The following is a 13,789-nucleotide window of genomic DNA, read 5'->3' on the forward strand; positions in this document are numbered from 1 at the left end:
ACCTGATGATTTCATATGGGCAACAGGATTTATGTATTGCCAGTCAAAAGGATAAACCACAGCCAGGCAGCCGCAGAGGCAGAAAAGCACATGCAATTTGGGTGGCACCATCTTGGGAGCTGAGCAGCAGTTTCAGCTTAGTCTCCTTCGAAGCAGATGATTAAAAGAAAAAAGAAGTATGCAATGAAGAGGCCTTAAATAAGCTGACAAATCAAGAAAGGCTGAGGTACTAGTAACACTTGGAAAAAATAAAACATGTATTTTCTGTGCTGGGTTTTAGATTGGTACTACAATGGTAAAATCCTTGGTAATGTAGGATTACCATTACCTACATTACTAAGGATTACATTGGATTGTAGAGCAGAGAAATAATACTTTCAGACAGTTAGATTAAGTTTTTGGTCACTAGTTTTCTAACTTTATAACAGTATGGTCAGCTATAAAAATAGCCAACAAAATATAACAAATATAACAACCATCTGTCATCATCATAATAATATCCATAGGTATGTCTAGCACATAGTAAATAATTCATAAATTTTGGCTATTTCCATCATTTAATTATATAGTGACTATATTTCTGCTGCTGTGGTTGTTTTGGGTGTTAATATGATGTTATATTCTTGCTAATTTCTATAATCCTACTATGATATAAGTTTCCAAAAAGCAGAAGTCAGGTCTTATTTGTTGTCTCAGTGCCTAATAGAGGGCCTGGAAGAAGTAGTATTGCATAGATGCTTGTTGAATCAGTAAATGAAACAAGAGAATATGAGATGTGTGGTAATAATAAATTATAATTAGTCTGTATGCTAACATCTTATTAGCAAAAACTATCTTGCATTTGTGCATCCATTTTCCCCCCTAAAATTTGGCCCTTCAACTTTTGTGGGGGATAGAAAAGGTCCAAGCCACCATCATCTCTTACCTAAAATTTGCCATCACCTCTAACGAGTCTCCCTGCTTTTGCCCTTGACCCTAAAATCTATCCCCAACACAGCAGCCAGAGTGATTGTGTCACCCTTCTGCACAAAACCCCCAAATGGTGTTATATGTTACGGGGGAGAAGCCATTCACCCAAAATAGCTTATAATGATCTACATAACCTTTACTCAACACACTCCCAATCCTTCCCCTAGCCCCTCTTGGACACCTGCTGCAATCACACTTGCTTCTTTGCCATTCACCAAACATGCCAAGTACTCCACACCCACCTTCCATCCCCACTTTGAGGGCTTTGAATGTGTTCCCTTTTATGGGAATGCTCTTTGCTCTGACACCCAAATGACTGGTCCTCTCACCTCCGGGTTTTTGCTCCAGTGATACTTTCTCAGTGACACTTTCCCGGTTCAATCTATTTAAAATTGCAATCTAACCTCCTTCTTCACACCAATACATTCCCTATTTCCCTCCCTACTTTATTTTTCTCCAATATTTATCACCAACTAACGTACCTTGTATGTTATTTGTTAGTTGTTTATCACCTTCCACTAAAAACTTAGTTCTGTGAGTGTAAGGATTTTTGATGGTTTTTCCCCCTGCTGTATTCCCAAGACCTAGAATAGTGCCTGGTGTACAGAGGCACTCAGTAAATGCCTGCTGAGTGAATAAATCTAGCACATCTGGTTACTAATACAAACCGAGCCAAGTTTAATGATCCGGTGTCCCACTGACACTAATGAAGCACTCGTTAGTATAGCTATTTTGCGGGAAGATGTAATATAGATGTGTGGCACAGACAATGAGTGCTCCTGAACATCTATGTGCTTCCCTACATTTCTTAGCCGCCCCTGTGGTTGGGCTGGGCCCATGGGGCTAATTCCTGAGAAACAAAAATTTGAACAGAAGTCGTCTGCAACAGAGTCACTGTATCTCCTTCATGCCTTCCTTTCCCTGACACAGCAAACTTAGAAATCATGTGCTGATGTAGTGCAGTCTTGAAGTGAAAGACGCCTGGATACCTAGTCACTGAACAGAGAAGAGCCCCTGCCAATTCAAATGACCTTTCACAAATGGGAAATAAACCTTTGCTGTGTTAAGCCACTGAAATTTCCAGGTGAAGCTGTTATTGCCTTAATGGAGCACAGCATGGCCTATCCTGATTATCAGATCTGCAGTCATTCAATCAAAGGGTATTTCTTAAGCAAATACTATATGCCCTCTCCTATGGCAACAACTGTGGTAAGTACCAGAGAATTTGACACAATCCCTACTCTCAGAGAGTTTACAATTGTGTTTCAGAGACAAGACTAGCATATATTAACAATATAATACAGGAAGAAAGCAAATTACAGGGGCATTTTATAATTCTTAGATGATATGGTACAAGTTCTGAGAGCAACAGGAATGTAGACAGAAAGATTTCAAAGAGATGGGGCTTTCGTGTAAGGGCAGCTCCTATTGTACAGGCTAGAAAGACCCAGATAGGCAGCTGGTAAATGTGTTGCTGGAGCTCTAAATTTTTTTTTTTCTTTGACAGAGTTTTACTCTGTCACCCAGGCTGGAATGCAGTAGTGTGATCTCGGCTCATTGCAACCTCTGCCTCCTGGGTTCAGGCAATTCTCCTGCCTCAGCCTCTCGAGTAGCTGGGACTATAGGTGCCCACCTCCATGCCCGGCTAATTTTTGTATTTTTAGTAGAGATGGGGTTTCACCATGTTGGCCAGGATGGTCTTGATCTCCTGACCTCATGATCTGCCCACCTTGGCCTCCCAAAGTGCTGGGATTACAGTCATCAGCCGCCGTGTCCAGCCAAAACTTCTTAAACTACTTGCAGAGGGACTGTATTTCCTTATTCAACATCTTTCTTTTGATCAGAAAAAAAAGGTATATATGTGCAACTCTTTAAGATTATTTATAATTTTGGTTGATTTTATTTGATCTTATTTCAGTATTACATTTAATTATATTATAAAGTTAATACATGATTTCAAAAATCCAAACATAACAGAAAAAGGTAAATTGAGTTATCTCTTCGCAAATAATGACTTGCTAACAGATTTTTTTCCAGAGGCATTTCTAGGCTCGAATACATGCACACTGAAGGGGCCAAGGGGGCCACGGGTGGCATTCCCCTTGGACCTCTGAAGGGTCACTGAAAAATCAACTTGTAAAAGGCAGATTATTTATTTAATGTGTATTCACAAGGAGCCTTCAGAATGAAGACCCAAAGATACAGGGGAAACTGTCTATTTTTATGCATAGGTTCAACAAAGTATGAACAGCTGTGTAGAAATATGACTGGACAGTAAGGGTAAGCTCTAATGCTAATAGACTCAGAGGGGCAACCCAGCAAGCCCTGTCTATTCAGATTCTTCTTGGTCTGTCTGTGCAGCATTCCTTTTTCCAAGGTAAGAGGACCCTTCCCTGAATAAGGGTCTTATAACCTACAATCAGATTAGAGTCCTGCCTTGGGCAGGTGAAAGGAAGGCAGGAAAAGGTCAGAGAGAAAGATTCTGCTTTCTGAGACCTGCTTCTGGGGTCTAAAGCACTCCAATATTATAACCAAAGACTGTAGCAAGGGCAACGGGAGTTATGAGCCAGGAACCATATTAACATGTAATAATCACAATGACCACAGAGGCTTCTGAATATGAACACACAGGAATAATTCATAAGAAGTCTTTTAACTTTTAAAGTTCTCTTTACACAGATAAGTGCCTTTTTCTCAACCATGGGATATGAGTTAGCTAGAAATGTATTTATATTTAAGAACTAGGACCCTGAAAAACTTAATGGTAACTTTAGACATTCTCTTAGAACTAGAGAATCCAACAGGACTACACTAAAACCCTTGATACAGCCGTCTTCATCATCATATTGTATGAAAATCTATTACCATAACCCCAATCACTGGTCAATACAAAAACACAAACTTTTTTTTTTTGGAGATGGAGTCTCACTCTGTCACCTAGGAATGCAATAGCACCACCTCAGCTCACTGCAACCTCCGCCTTCCAGGTTCAAGTGATTCTCCTGCCTCAGCCTTCTGAGTAGCTGGGATTACAGGCACCCACCATAATGCCTGGCTAATTTTTGTATTTTTAGTAGAGACAAGGTTTCTCCATGTTGGCCAGGCTGCTTATGAACTCCTGACCTCATGTGATCCGCTCACCTCTACCTCTCAAAGTGCTGGGATTACAGGCATGAGCCACCAACATTCTAAATCAATGGGAATGTTCACTTTAAAAATCAATGATTTTCTTCAAATAGTAAGGCCTGAAAATAACTATCTTCAATTTGGCCCCTTGACCACTAGATAAAATATCATCCTGGCAATCAAGAAGACTTTCAATGAGCACTCAGATAATACATTCCATTTAAACGGATTCTACCTTTCTGCCTCTCTCCTGCAGACTTCATTTCTCCCACTGAAACCACAGTGCCCTACCTGTTCTTCAGATCTCAGTTGTAGTCTCCATACACAACCATAACTGCCACAAATCCCGATTTCCCCTATTTGTCACTGTTAAATTCTCATCAGGCATCATTTCCCTTTTCGAAACAAAAGACAACCCAAAACAATAGATAAAATGTCCAATCTCGAGTTTGAAATCTCTGTGAAAAGCTGACAGATAAACCATCCAAGTAAAACCCAGTCCTGGCAAGAGATTAGGGCAGGTGGGCCTTAGCTCTTGTGTTATTAGTAAAGAGTCAGAAAAGAAAATGCTCATTTGTTAAGTATCAGTACTCTCTTTCCAAATTCTTCCTGATTGACCTTTGGAATGGGGGCATGTGGCAGGTTGAATAATGCACTCCCACCCAAATGTCCATATTCTAAACCCCAGAACATGTGAATATGTAATGTTCCATGGCAAAAAAGAATTAAGATGCAAATGGAATTAATGTTAATCAGTTGACCTTAAAATAGGGAGATTATCATGGATTATCTGACCCAATGTAATCACAAGAGTCCTTAAAAGTATAAGAGGATGGCAGAAGAAGAGATCTGAATGATGTGATGTGAGAACTCAACCCACCATGGCTGGTTTTGAAAATGAAGGAAGCGGGCATGAGCTATAACATGTGGATGGCCTCTAGAATCTTGGAAAGGTAAGGAGACAGATTCTCTCTAGAGCCTCAGGAAAGCAACACAGACTAGCTGACCTCTGAAGGTTCACTGAACCTGTTATTTTAGCCTAGTAAGGCCATGTCAGACTTCTGACTTTCAGAACCATGAGATAATAAATTATGTTGCTTTAAGTGACTAAATTTGTAGAAAATTTTTACAGCAGCAATAGAAAACTAATATGGAGCATATAAAGTAACTGAATGAGACAAAAAGCAAATAATAGCCCAATTCAGTTTCAACTAAAGTCAAAGAAAGTGGCTTAAATACCTCAAAACTGACCCATTACCACACCAAATGATTGCTGAAGAAGATAAAATCTTCTTTGGATATTTTACAATAGGATGAAGGCTGGAGAATGCAGCTAGAACATCACTCTACAGCAGTGTCTCTCAACTAAGGCATTTTTGCCCCCCAAGAAGACACTTATTAATGTCTGGAGATATTTTTGGTTGCCACAACCAGGAGGGGGCTGCTACTGGCATCTAGTGAGTAGCAGTCAGGGATGCTGTTAAGCATCCTGTAGTGCACAGGACAGCCCTACAACATAGAGGAATCTCAAAATGTCAATAATGCTGAGGTTGAGAAACCCTGGTCTAAGAAAATGCTGGGGCAACTCTATCCTTGTTTAATAAGGAAGAAATATTTATTTCATTCTAGGGAGGCAGATGCATGAGATGCAAAACCTGCAAGTAACATATAATTAGTTGATTCTACTCACAATTTTGGAAATGGGAATTAATCTGCATCCCATGTGCAAATGTCCAAATGTTTGGTGTTCTATATGGCTTAAAGGTCATAAAAGGTAAAAGTTGTCTAAGATCAATGGGCAGCCTGCTGCTATACTGTAAGTTCCTGATCTTACTCTCAGACTCAGTCCCCCAACTATATTACTCACAATAGTAAGAGTAAGAGTAACTGGATCTGTTGAGTGTTGTATGCATAAATGGCTACATGATGGTTAGGTTAAGGTCATGGGTATACTTCTTGAGAAAACTTACCTGTATCAGAGTAATAAAGTGGTTTAGAAATTTAGCTCCAGTTTCTGGCTGCCAAGGTTTGAATCTTGAATCTGCTACTTACTAGTTTGGTGACTTCAGTTAAGTTCTTACCTACTTTCTGCTTTTCTCTCCTCATCTGTCAAAGAGGAACCCTGATAATGGGGTTCTTATGGGGATGTGAGCCCTTGGAGAAATGCTATTATTATTATCCAAAGTCTACCAATTGCTACACAGCCCCAGGAATCTGTTGTGCAGGTGCAAGCCACGGTGACTGGGGTGTGGAGGAGCCTGGGGCACACCGGAAATGGGATGTACAAGCAACAGGCACAGATGCTCTCCCGCTAAAGGAACTCAGTGTCCATATTCTCCAGGAGGATGCAGTATTAAACTGACATATATGCCCCAATATGGAGGAAAATACTAAAAGAAGCCGGAAAAATGATAATGGGGACCATAGAGAGAAGGCATTTCTGAGAAAAGCTGTTAGCTCCCTAAAACATCCAAATGCACTAGTGCCCATCCCATAGGCAAGATTAGAAATGAAGTGCTATCCCTCAAACTTTACCCACCCACTTATCTGATGTCATATGTACACACCAAAATGAATAAAATATGGTAGAAAAATAAGATAGTGTTTGTACATACAGTTACCCTTCTAAGCATTTCATATAAATGAACTCATTTAGTCCTCAGAGTTCTTTGACATACAGTTGAGATAATGAAGACAAAGAGGTTAAATAACGTGCCCAAGTTCACAAGGATAGGAAGTAGCTAAACCAGGATCTGAACCTAGACCCGGACCCTAAAGTAGGAATTCTTAAGCTCAGCACTGCTGACACTAGGGGCTGATAAGTCTTGGCTGTGGGGGCTGTCCTGTGCATTGCAGGGTGTTTAGCAACATCCCTGGCCTCTACCCACTAGATGCCAATAGCACACCCCAGTTGTGGCAACTAAATATTACGTCTCCAGACATTGCCAGATGTCCCCTGGAGTGGGGGCATAAATCATCCTCAGCTGAAAACCATTGCTCTCAAGCTGTACATTGAGCAGTTCTCCTGTAAACTCTCAGGAACAATCTAACTGGAAAATAAGCCCTGAAAGTAAATTTAAAAACACAATGGATAGGCCAGGAAAAATCTAAAGACATCTTCAGTTGCATGACAAAAGTATGACATCATAGAGAAAGGGAGGCCACCCTCCCACTGCATTCTGCACCAGTTAGACCACATCTTATTGAATTGGTGGGGATTTAAGGATTTTAACAAATAAAGGTTCAGGACAAGGGACAGTAACCCAAAAATAACCAGAATGATGAGGGAACAAGGCAGCAAGTCACATGAGGAGCTGTTGAAGGAATGAGGAATGTTTACTTTTAATGTGGAAAACCTAGGTTGCATGTGACAGCCACAGTCCTGTGCAAAGTTCCTAAACATGTTCTATGTAGGCCCAGACTGTACAGCTCCATCAACAGTAGCTTTTCAACAATTAGCATTATCTTCTTTATCAGAGGAGCAGTTAAAGTACAGGTTTGGGGACTACCAGCAGGGATACTGGAATATAGATTCCTGCATTACATGAAGGTGAAAGTATAACAGACAGGTTACACTTGATTGCCCTAAACCTGAAGTTAAAAATCAAAAGTCTACAAGGGCCAGACAGGTAATTTAAATGAATCAAACAGGTTCATGCAATAGAATAAGGACTGGCGTGAACTGTCCTTATTCTATTTGGATGGTGCAAACTGGACCATCCAAAGAAGGCAACTACCACTCTATTCCAGTTAATTGCTTCCATGTAGGAATGGCAGCTCCATGTCACTAGATCATCTGATTGCTTCCAAGAAAAACTGGAAAATTACATTTGTATGTAATATCCACTGATTTTTAAAGGAGCAACTAATTCAACCTTTCAAAACGTGAGTGAAACAAATAGATTTCTGGCTTCAAGGAGAGATGTAACCTCTCCCTTTAAGATACCCAAACACCCCCACTCTCCAGCCCTAAGAAAAATATGGTGGTTGATATGGCAAGAGATAAATCATACAGATCCCAGAATTACTATCACATTTTGTCTGCAATTTGAATCACCAGACTAGCCACTTCAAGCTGAAATTCAGACACACTGACCAATAAATAATTAAGGGGATCTGGCAAGTTAACATGACCTAGGGACTATTAAGTCACGAGCTGACATTTCTGCTGCCCACAATACAAATGAGGAAGAGCTTTTTTTCCTCTAAGCAGGCATATCTCCTTCTAGTAACTTGCACATCAGAGTGAGTCAGGAAAGAGAAATAGAGTTGCCTTATTGTGGCAGTTACTTGTCCTGTCTCTGCGAAGAACGTCACTATCCTAGTTGGTAAACAACTTTAAAACTTCCTGACACTCTAAAACTTAGTGATAAACGAGAGAAAATTCAAGAGCTTCCTCTGAGAGAGAATGCTTCACTAAGGGAAACAACCCTACCCAACTCTGGTCCACAGACTTCTCCAGAAATTCTGCTGCCATATAGATATTTTCAGTTATCTACAAATCTTTGCACTCACAGATATCTGCATGACCACAGCCAGGACAAAGGCAAATCTGTCCAAAATATTTTTTTCCCATTCCCAGCTTTAATTATTCTATTTTTGAATTTTTATCTGACCATATTCAACTTTTGAAATTAAGCCAGCTATTATTTTAGCAATAATTTCCCTGCATTTTGTGACGACTTGTTTTTATTGGTAACTCTTAGTTAAGAGTTTCCAGTTCTCCGAACAGAGAAAGATACTTTTATGTATAATAAATTAGGTTTACTGAAAATAATATAATAAGACATCAAATTTATTAAAATAAATTTTAAGATAAAGCACAGGGAATTCAAAGTAATACAATATGAGCAAATAATAATGGTAATAATGTCTTACATTATGCTTCAGGGCATATTCATTTGTTTATTAGTTTTTACAAGTGGACCAGGTATAGCAATCTCATTCCCATTTTGTAGATGGGAAATTCGAGACAGAGAAACATTAACTTCCCACTGTAACTCCAAAAAATAGCCTACGCCCATCTACTGCTACCACCCCCCATCAGTAAACTCGCTTCTGGCCTTCTTCTGTCCCCTCTCCTTCCCCTGTAATCCATTCTCCACATAGCACCCAGAGTCATCTCTTTATAAAGTAAATCAATTATGTCACATCTCTGCTTCAAACTCTCTTTTGGCTTCTCTCATTGTAAAGAGTAAAATCCAAATGTTTCCCTTGGCCTATGAGGGTCTTCCTGACCTGGCTCCTGCCCCTAAAGCTCACTCCTCCAACTCTCCTTCTCCCTCACCTAACTCCAGCCACACTGGCATTCCAACTGTGCCTCCAACACATCACACCTGTTCCCAGGAGCAGGACATTTGTGCTTGTGGTTCCCTCTGCAGGGACGTCTGCCCATCTTCCTGAGGTTTCATCTCCAGGCCTTCTTGCAGAGAAGTCTCTCCTCACAATCCAATCCAAGAAGCTAGGCCCCTCCCATATATCCAACACACACATACACACACACACACACACACACACACACACACACCACTATACTGCAGCAATCTGCTTGCTTTTCTTCTCATTATATGAATTCACCCTGTTCATCCCTCAATTCTAGAATGTGAGCACTGTGAGAGCAGAGAGCATATCTATCTTACTAACTGTGCTGTACTCAGTACCTGGCACTTAGGATCTGATCAATAAATATTTTTTGAAGTGAATGAATGAATGAATACAAGTTCTACTAGGAATCAACTAGCCCACTTAATTCAATGAGCATCTACTCTTACAATAGACTTTTTATTTCTCCTCAACTGCTAAGTTTCTTTAAAAACCAAAAACCTACATGTTTGTATGTATTAGCCTGTTTCTGTTAGTGTTGAGTCACGCCCATAAAATTGAGCAAAATGACAGTGAGGGCACATAATGTGTCTAACAGGTGGCTGGCGTCATGAAGAAAGTCAGTAAGAACCCAGAATCATATTCTGAAACAATACAATTTTAGAACTGAATGTTTCTCTTCAATTTCCCTTCACTCAGTACTTTCTCTTCAATGCTTTTATTTTATGGAAATTTCTCAACATCTTGAGACGTCAGTCAGGCTTATTATCACGAATCTTGAAAAAAAATTAGGCTTAAGAGGAATCAGAGTGTAAATAATCCAATATCCACCTTCCTTTCCAGGAAATAGCCATCTTCTTGGGTATCAGGAAAAGGAAGATAAAGGGGACTCCTAAACTGACTTTCCCAGGGGCTCCCACTCCAGCTGCTCAGGTACCCAGTTAGCACTTTTCTTAATGTTCTGTGCTGACAGAGCTTCAAAGAGTGTGGTAAGTCATATTCATGTGCAAAGGTGAGAGTGAGGGAATGTGTTTAGGCCCATGTATGTTCCTCACAACAAAAGTGCAAAGGGGACAGAGACACAATGGAGAGGAAATGAGGACCCAGCTGTCCCAGGTTCTGTCTGAGGGAAAAGTCCTGCGGTGCTAAGCAAGCCCTTCCACACCTCAGAAGGGATTTCTCAACTGTAAAATGAGTGGCTGAACCAGATTCACAACACTCCTAATGCTGCAACTCCTTCAGTCTTGCTGGCTGTACAGTAGGCAGTCACAGACTATGGTGCCAGCCTTGGGTATGAAGGGCCCAGTTCAATGAAGAAAGACATTGAGACATCACCACATGGCCAGCAGCAGCTTCTGGTGCACAAATATCTGGGGAGGGGAAAGCACTTTCAGTGCCCAAGTGCAAGGAGCTGAAGTAGGCCTGCTGGAAAATGCCAAGGTGGTGCGCTGTCTCACCACTTTCTGCAGGGCCAGCAGAATTCCTCTGTGAGGGAATCTGCCTGGGTGATGGAGGCTCACCAGTGCCTCGTGACCAGAAGGCCATCTGCTTCTTCTTGATCAGGCCAGTGCTTAATGCTCAGATCTCTGAATTCAATGTAAGCTCAAGGTTTCGTGCTGAGCCTCTTGGGATTGCCAACACCTCAGGGGATACATTTTCCAGCTCCTACCCATATACCAGTCTCCCAGCTCAGCATTCTCATTTGGATCAAAAGTAATTTGTGCAAGCCTGATTTGTTAACACATCCCAAATCTGAATCCGTGTGCCTTTTAAAGGTGGCAAGCTGCCATTTATGAGCCATACGCACCTCTCCTTCCTCATCACCACTGCAGTAATCCCAAGAACCACAGGCATGAATAAAAGCCCGAACTTTTCGTTTTTGGTGACAGAAATTTCTCTTACAAGCTCCAGGAGATGATGAGGAAGACAGTGTTCTCTGTTTTCTGATTTTGCTTAATTTTTTAAAAATGAGCCTCTCCCTTGACTTGGTGACACAGCTGTGATCTTATCTGGCCGGCAGGGGGATGCTCCAGGTAGGACAAAGAGTGCTTTGTTTTGTTCTTACAGCAGCCACGCATAACTGGGCTCCAAAAACGCAATACTCCTCAAAGGGAGAGTGAGAGAGAGGGAGAGAGGGAGAAGGGTGTGTGAGAGAGAGAGCGGAGGGAGAGAGAGAGAGGAGGCAGAGTGAGAGGTGTGTAGTGGTGTGTGTGTGTGTGAGAGAGAGAGAGAGAGAGAGAGAGAGAGAGAGAGAGAGAGAGAGAGAGAGAGAGAGAGAGAGAGAGAGAGAGAGACGGAGAGAGAGATTGTCCCTGTAGGAGATCTACAGATAAGAAAACTCCGGGGCGGGCGCGGTGGCTCATGCCTGTAATCCCAGCATTTTGGGAGGCGGAGGCGGGCGAATCACGAGGTCAGGAGATCGAGACCATTGTGGCGAACACAGCGAAACCCCGTCTCTACTAAAAATTCAAAAAAATTAGCCGAGCGTGATACGGCACGCCAGCAGTCCCAGCTACTCGGGAAGTTGAGGCAGGAGAATTGCTTGAACCCGGGAGACAGAGGTTGCAGTGAGTCGAGATCGCGCCTCTGCACTCCAGCCTGGCGACAAAATGAGACTCCGCCTCAAAAGAAAGAAAGAAGGAACGAAAGAAAGAGAGAGAGAGAGAAAAAAAAGAAAAGAAAACTCCATGTGTTCCCTGCCTGTCCTGATTCTCCCCCCAGCTCTGAGCTCTTAGGGTTGCTTCCTTTCGGGAAAAGGTTTGGAAGAACTGGTGTCTAATACCGTCATCCTCTCCCTCTCCCCGCAAGGATCCTAGCGCTGTTTCCGAGGGCTGCAGGGACTGTGAGCCCAGGACCGGCCAGCAGAGCGGGTGCGACTCAGCGAGCCCACCCCGGCCGGTCGCCGCTCCGGGGTCCCGACCTCCAGCGCGGCGACCGTGCCCTTCCTCCCACTCCCGCCTCGCCCCCGGGGCCCCTCCTCACTCAGGCGCGGCGCGGAGCTGCTCGCGGGAACTGGGGTCCCTGGGCGCGTTCCACCGCGCACCAACGCGACCCAAGCGCTCCAAACCCGACTGCTTCTCGCCGACAGCACTGCGAGCCTCCGACCAGCCGCTGTCCCCCTGGCTGCGGGCCGAGCAGCTCTGGCAGGCGGCGGGCGGGTGGGCTGCGCGCGGGCTGTGTCCTGGGTCCGCCTAGCGCGGCCTTGTGGCCCCGACCCTCTCCTCCCCTGGTGATGCTGGAGGAGGTACCGGGGAGGAGCGTGTGTGGCCCCGGCCTCTCACTAGCAGCGGCGGCTCCCGACGCTAGCCTGCTCGAGCGCACCCAGCACCCTCCCCAAGACCATGGCCCGCACCTGGACCCGCGGTTAACTTAGCCCGCCGCGGAGAGAGCCAGGCAATGCCTGGGTGGTGTCGTGCTCACCAGCTCCTTTCCGCAGACCTGATGCCGATCAGATTTACTCCCTGCTGAATTCACCCCCCAGTCAGGCCGGTTTTCCTTGTTTCACCGTGTTCTCTGAATACACTGAATTACTCCGAGCATCTATAGTTGGCAATGCCCTGCGCATTTTCCGCACTCCGATACACTTTACACTGAACACCAATTCGGAAGTTGTGTGGACCGTGCTCCAGATTGGAAGGCCTGCCACTGTGCTGGTGTCATTTCTCCCTGGAAATGACAATGAAGGACAATCAGGAATAGCACTTAGGTCTGAGGAGAAATGGAGCTAGAAGGAGCCGTTTCATAGCTCAGTGTAACACAGAGTTATTTGGGGTTTAACTGAAACGCCTTCCTTCATCTTCCAATGTTTTCTCTTCAATCCACTTTCTAATAAATTAAAAACACACTCATTTAAAACTTCAGCTAGAAACTTAGGGAAAGTAGTTTGAAATTTATGTGTGGTGTTATTAAAATTTTATATTTTTAAATCGTGTTTTGGTTTTTGGTGAGGTGCCAGAACTGGAGATGAAATTTTGCTTATTTTGATTTTGAGTATTCTGCAGTAAGATGGCCTGAATTTTAGCTTGTTTCTCCCACTTATGAGTGGTGTGACCTTGGGGAAGTTCATCATCTCTGCTTCTCGGTCTCCTCATCCATAAAATCAAGAAAATCAAAATCAGTCAGTCAGAGGCAGTTTGTGAGCACGAAATGCAAATACATGTGAAATGCTTGGGACAGAGCTTGGCCTATGGGAAACATTCATTCAATATGTGTTATCTAATATTGATAGCTTAATGAAGCAGTGACTCATTTAAACCTAACAATAGATTTTATTTTTAATTTAAATGGAACTCTATCCGCCTAATGACATTGTCTTGTACTTCCTGGACTAACCCCCTGTAAAACAAATGGCCCACAAATATCAATCTAAAAG

At 42.9% G+C, this 13,789-nt stretch overlaps 1 protein-coding gene across 5 annotated transcripts in view; it reads right to left on the reverse strand.

Moving 5' to 3' along the window:
* PLA2G7 (phospholipase A2 group VII) overlaps positions 1-12,941 on the reverse strand; it is a 31,521-nt gene extending 18,580 nt beyond the window's left edge. For 2 of the 5 annotated variants that reach the window (NM_005084.4, XM_047419360.1), the window contains exons 1-2: positions 12,400-12,595; positions 3-145 (exon numbers count right to left, since the gene is read on the reverse strand). In NM_005084.4, the coding sequence (NP_005075.3) occupies positions 3-111 (109 nt within the window). In that variant the 5' untranslated portion in view covers positions 112-145; positions 12,400-12,595. Of the gene's footprint in view, positions 1-2; positions 146-12,399; positions 12,596-12,769 lie in introns of those variants that run through there. The other 3 variants (XM_005249408.5, NM_001168357.2, XM_047419359.1) reach the window with 3 other exon arrangements.

Source organism: Homo sapiens, chromosome 6, assembly GCF_000001405.40.
Source record: "Homo sapiens chromosome 6, GRCh38.p14 Primary Assembly".
Classification (NCBI taxonomy): Eukaryota; Metazoa; Chordata; class Mammalia; order Primates; family Hominidae; genus Homo; species Homo sapiens.